The sequence below is a fragment of the Homo sapiens genome, chromosome 4 (genome assembly GCF_000001405.40).
Source record: "Homo sapiens chromosome 4, GRCh38.p14 Primary Assembly".
NCBI lineage: Eukaryota > Metazoa > Chordata > Mammalia > Primates > Hominidae > Homo > Homo sapiens.
Genome location: NC_000004.12, coordinates 110859387 through 110865521, shown reverse-complemented (window position 1 = coordinate 110865521; position 6135 = coordinate 110859387). Strand labels below are relative to the sequence as shown.

The following is a 6135-nucleotide window of genomic DNA, read 5'->3' as shown; positions in this document are numbered from 1 at the left end:
ACAGCTGCTTTAAATTTCCTAATATATAAATGATACTTTAACATTGAAGTTGGTTTTTTTAAGGTACAATTAATTTTGAACTTATATTTTTCTTAGTTGGTTATAAAAAAATTATCTATGCCATGAAAACAGGAACTTTATAAAAAAAACTTTACAATGGAGATTAACAGTGAATTGATGGGGAAATGAATTACAGTTGTATGGAAACATAAAAATACTCAATACTATTTACTGTTACAAGAATAAAGTGCACAATATTATTGCGATCTAAGAACCCAGTGCTGAAATTTATTTTGAGTACAACTCATTATCTTTTCCATAGAGTTTAATGTAGGAATATATAAGAACTCAAGGCCGGGCGCAGTGGCTCCCACCTGTAATCCCAGCACTTTGGGAAGCCAAGGCGGGTGGATCACAAGGTCAGGAGATCGAGACCATCCTGGCTAACATGGTGAAACCCCATCTCTACTAAAAATACAAAAAATTAGCCGGGCGTGGTGACGGGCGCCTGTAATCCCAGCTACTCGGGAGGCTGAGGCAGGAGAATGGCATGAACCCAGGAGGCGGAGCTTGCAGTGAGCCGAGATCGCGCCACTGCACTCCAGCCTGGGCGACAGAGAGAGACTCCGTCTCAAAAAACAAACAAACAAACAAACAAACAAAAAAACTCTAGTGTTACTGCAACAGTTTGATGTTTTATAATGGCAACAGTCACATAATGTCATCACAAAAATGGTAACACCCTTAGATCAAATAATTTTTCACATTCAGGAAAACCAATAGAGCAATTTATCAGGCATGTGAAAGAAACACTTACCTTTGTCCTTATATGAGAACTATTTGGTTTTACCCTAATTTAATTACTATGCTTCCTAAGGGTAGTAGAGAAGTTCTGAAAAAGTAAAAGGAAATTAAAAGGGCAATAGAGCAATTGGGTGGCATAGTCCCCTAAAGAACCTTTATCCTTGGAAGACAAACAAAGCCAGTTAAATATTTCGGTAGATCCGTTTAGACTTCAAAATAAAGAAAAGGCAAAAATCCAAATGGAATGGATTACCAAAAATCGTAGCATTTTTAAAACACATTACTTTTAATGTTATTTTAAGCCAAACAAATTCAATAGATTTAAGCTGAAGGGATGTTATCATATGATTTGCTTCCCTCAGTTATGTAAGTGTTTTTTCATCAATATTCTGTCTGCAACAATTATCTAAAACAATTATGAGTAGTTTTTAAATTACTAGTTGCATTTCTACAACAAATCATAACTTTTTGAACATCTAATTATCTATTTTCAATAAGTTTCTGTAGACTCAAAACTTTTGTTTCAGATAAACTTAAGATTTAACCATCTAAGAACAGGAATCCTGATTAATCTGTATTTTCAAGGGAATATATTAATACATCATATTAGTACTTTATTGCTTTTAAAGCTGTAAAATCATAAAGATTTTACAAATAAAAATGAAGACATACAGGTTTATGTAAGTTTGTATATACATATATCCTACTTTAAAACATTATAACATGTTGATTTCAAAATAACAATTCTAAAACTGCCTAACTCAATGATTTTTTTTAACCTTGAGATTTGCTTGTAAATCTCAGATAAATCTCAGGGTAAATTTCAGATACTATTTGAAAGTCAAAAATAATAATAGAGATTCTTAAATAGACTAATGTTAATAAGTATATTACAAGTATACCTTTAGAAATAAAGATATAAATAACACTAAGAGAAAACGTGAAACTAGAAAAATTTATATTTTGGGGTTTTGTGCATTTAATCTGTCAAAACTATCATGTGTAGCAACAGTTCATGTTTCTTCTACATTTTTATTTATTCCTTATGTTTATTACTGACTGCTTGTACTATTATGATCAGATTTGTATCAAGTTTACCAGAAATATGAAAAGGTATGTTATTATGCATATAATTAATCCTTGAGTTTATTTAATGTTGCTTTTAATTTACATCTCATAAATTTTCTCATCTCATAAAGTTCCAAGTTATGTTAATATTTTATGTACAATTTAGCTTTATTGTGACAGGAAATGTTGATAAATTACCAGTTATGAGAAAAAAAAAATCTATGAGGAAAAGTATAAAACTAAAATACCAGATCAGAAAAGAGTGATATTTAAAGGTTATAGTTTCCAAATTTAGCAAATAAAAATATAGGATCCCCAGTTAAATCTGAAGTTCAGATAAAAATGAATAAATTTTAGCATACATGTATCCCATGCAACATTTGGGATGTACTTACAACAAAAAAATTAGCTATTGCTTATCCAAAAGTTAAATATAACTCAGTGTCTTGTATTTTATCTGGCAAGCCTAATAAAAGTGAATTTTTACTTATTAATATATCATTTATCACAGTTTCATCTGTTACTTATCAAAGGATTTCTATGCAACAAAGTCAGTTTTACACATTTAATAGCTATGACTTCTGCTAGTCTCAGGGAATACCGTCTCTTCCAAATTTACTCAACATGGTGTTTTTCCTTTATTTAGGGATGAACCTAAATAAAGAAGGGACCAGTTGTCAGCTTCTACACTTCCAGCACTGAAGCAAGGAGCAAAGGTAGGATTTATTAGCTAACATGTATTAAGGGCTTCCATATGAGCCAAGCAGTATGCTGAGTTCTGTACATTCATTATCTTCTTTAACCCTCACAACAGCCTTCTGAGGTGAGTGCTATTATTATCACCATTTTACAGATGAGGAAACTGAGGTAGGAAATGTCAAATTACTTGATCAAGGTTTGAATGGGAGTCAGTGGGAAGGCTGACCTGAAACTCAAAGCTTTCTGACTTTGTCAGTCTGCTTTTCCTCCCAGTTAGGACAGAAGCAGTTGTATTTGCCCCATCCTTCTTGAGAGAACCCTTTACCCCGCCTGCACCACTCTCATTCTCTTAAAAATATGAAATATTAAATATAAGGATTGCCACATCCCATGCAACCCCAGTCAGGTGCCTCACAACTCTACAACCTGAGGCCATATGAAGGCAACCCAGGTATTTCTGGGCACAGAGAGAAGTGAACCAAAGGACTGCCCATTTGGTTTACTGTCCATAAAATTACTGAGTAAAATGTTAAACATTTTCTTCTCTTCAAAATAATGATCAACTCGATCTTTCAGAAAAAATTTTCAAAGCTTTGAAAAGGTTTTTTTTGAACTCTTCACTTATTTTTATTTATAATGGCATATAATAACTGTACATATTTATTGGGTATAATGTTTCAATACATGTATCTATAGTATAATGGTCAAATTGGAGTAATTATAGCTATCACTTTAACTACTTAGCATTTCTTTGTGGTGGCAACATTCAAAATCTTCTCTTCTAGCTGTCTTGAAATATACAATACATTGGCATTTGCTGTAGTCACTCTACTGTGAAACAGAACACCAAAACTGAAAAGTTATATTTTAAAATAATCCTTTTCTACACTTCAAGTCTACATTCTTTAAAAATAATAACAGATCTGAATTCTACTCATTCAACCATTAATTAAGAATAACTATAACTTTATAACTTTTTAAAATAAGATTTGTACAGAAGTTTTGTTTCCTTGTTTGTTTGCTTGGAAAGGTTTTTGGTTGATACTTACGTAAGTGACAGGCTCTGCTTACATGCATGACCAACATTATCTTAGTCTAATCCCACAACAACCTCATCTGGTAGGTATATTTTCCAGATAAGGAAACTAAGGAACAGAGATGTTACATAACTTGCCCAGTCACACAGCTAGTAAGCTGAGAAACCAAGATTCAGGCCAGGCAGTTTGTTTCCAGTTTTCCCTTTTTTTTTTTTTTTTTGAAACAGAGTCTTGCTCTGTCGCCCAGCCTGGAGTGCAATGGTGCGATAGGGGCTCACTGCAACCTCTGCCTCCCGGGTTTAAGTGATTCTCCTGCCTCAGCCTCCAGAGTAGCTGGGATTACAGGCACCCACCACCATGCCCAGCTAATTTTTGTATTTTTAGTGGAGACGGGGGTTCACCATGTTGATCAGGCTGCTCTTGAACTCCTGACCTCAAGCAGTCCACCCACCTCAGACTCCCAAAGTGCTGGGATTACAGGCATGAGCCACTGCGCCCAGCCCAGTTTTCCATTCTTAATCAGTAGGCTCTTGTTTGAGAATATTTTATTCTTAATGATGGTATTACTCATTTTTGTACTTTATACAATGGAGTACTTCGTGTTTGGAATGGCTTCCTTGTCCATATCTTTGTAAGGTTGAGGCCAATTTTTCTGAAGGTCTAAAGATCAGGCCCAAAAGAGAGACCACATAATCACTTTGCGTTCCTTCCTCAGTAATCTCCACAACTCATTTTGTGTCAGAAATTCACCACTGCACAATAACAGGCCAACAGTGGCCAGAGTTGGCTCCCATGCTGTAAGGTTGGAGGAAGGACACACCAGGCTTCCTAAGTACTTCACACAAGGCTGCCAAAGGATTAGCTGGATGTTCCTGTGCCAGGTTCACTTAACAGGAACATGGCAAGTTGTGGAGACTAATTGGTTCTCACAGGTATTTGGGGTAATGTAAAAATACAACTGCAGGAAAGGCAATTTCCCCCTAGAATGTGACTTGCTCCTGTAAATACAATATATTTTACAGGTTTTAATGCATGTGAAATATTTATCATTGGCATGAAAATTTAAAATATATACCATTTTCCCTTTCATGCCAAAGGGCTTCTATACCCATCACAATTAAAATTAAATATGGAGTAATAGCATAGCTTTTTACTCTGATTCCCTTTTCCCCATTTTGTAAATTCACAGCTTTAACCCATGGCCACCTGCCTGAACGATGGCTTATTTCCAACTCAAGATCTCTTTCTACATACTTTATGAACATATGTATGTATGTGTGCATGTGCATGTATGTGTATATACATATATATGTATTATGTACTCATATATCAAGGAGATTTCATTTCTATTTTTAATCTATGGTATAACTTCTGCATTGATCATATAGTCATGAACCACACGAAAAAGTTCCAGTCAACGACAGACCACAAATGTGACAGTTGTCCCATAAGAAGAAAATGGAGCTGAAAAATTCCTATCACCTAATGGCGTCGTAGCCATCATAATGTAATAGCAAATGCATTACTCATGCGTTTTTGGTGATGTTGGTGTAAATAAACCTACAGTGCTGCCAGTCATATAATATTACAGCACATACAATTATCCACAATACATAACACTTGATAATGACGAATATGTTACTGGCTTATATATTTACTATAGTAAACTTTTATTGCTATTTTAGGGTATACTGCCTCAACTTATAAAAAAAAAGTTAACTATAAAACAGCCTCAGGCAGGTCCTTCAGGAGGTATCCAGAAGAAGGCATTGTTATAGCAGATTACAGCTCCATTTGTGTTACTATTTCCAGTTTTCCACTCTTAATAGAGCTTCTACTGGGACAAGAGGTGGAGATGGAAGGCAGTGATACTGATGATCCTGACCCTGTGTAGGCCTAGGCTATGTGTATGTTTCTGTCTTAGTTTTTAACAAGAAAGTTGAAAAAGTAAAATATATATATATATATATGATCTTTGAAATAGAAAAAAGCTTATAGAATAAGAATATAAAGAAAGAAAACATTTTTGTACAGCGATACAATGTGTTTATATTTTAAACTAAATGTTATTACAGAAAGAGTCAAAAAGTAAAAAAATACAAGTTTATAAAGTAAAAAAGCCATGGTAAGCTAAAGTTAATTTATTATTTAAGAAAGAAGATTTTTTTTTAATTTAGTGTAGCCTAGTTCACTGTGTTTATAAAATCCACAGTAGTGGACAGTAATGTCCTAGGCCTTCACCTTCACTCACCACTCACTCACTGATTCACCCAGAGCAACTTCCAGTCCTACAAGCTCCATGCATGGTAAGTGCCCTATACAGGTTTACCATTTTTTGTCTTTTATACCATATTTTACCTTTTATATGTTTAGAAATGTTTAGATACACAAATGCTTGCCATTGTGTAACAGTTGCCTAAAGCATTTAGTACAGTAACGTGCTGACTGAATACTTATTCAGAATTCTGCTATTTCTGTTGGAGTGCTGCATCATAGTCCTCAGAGGCACACAGATCTCACTACCTAG

General features: G+C 34.5%; 1 non-coding gene across 1 annotated transcript; it reads left to right on the top strand.

Moving 5' to 3' along the window:
* Positions 1 to 4874: 4874 nt before the first annotated feature.
* Positions 4875 to 4940, top strand: MIR297 (microRNA 297). The gene has a single exon (NR_030643.1). It is a non-coding gene; the product is annotated as a microRNA 297 (primary transcript).
* Positions 4941 to 6135: the final 1195 nt, after the last annotated feature.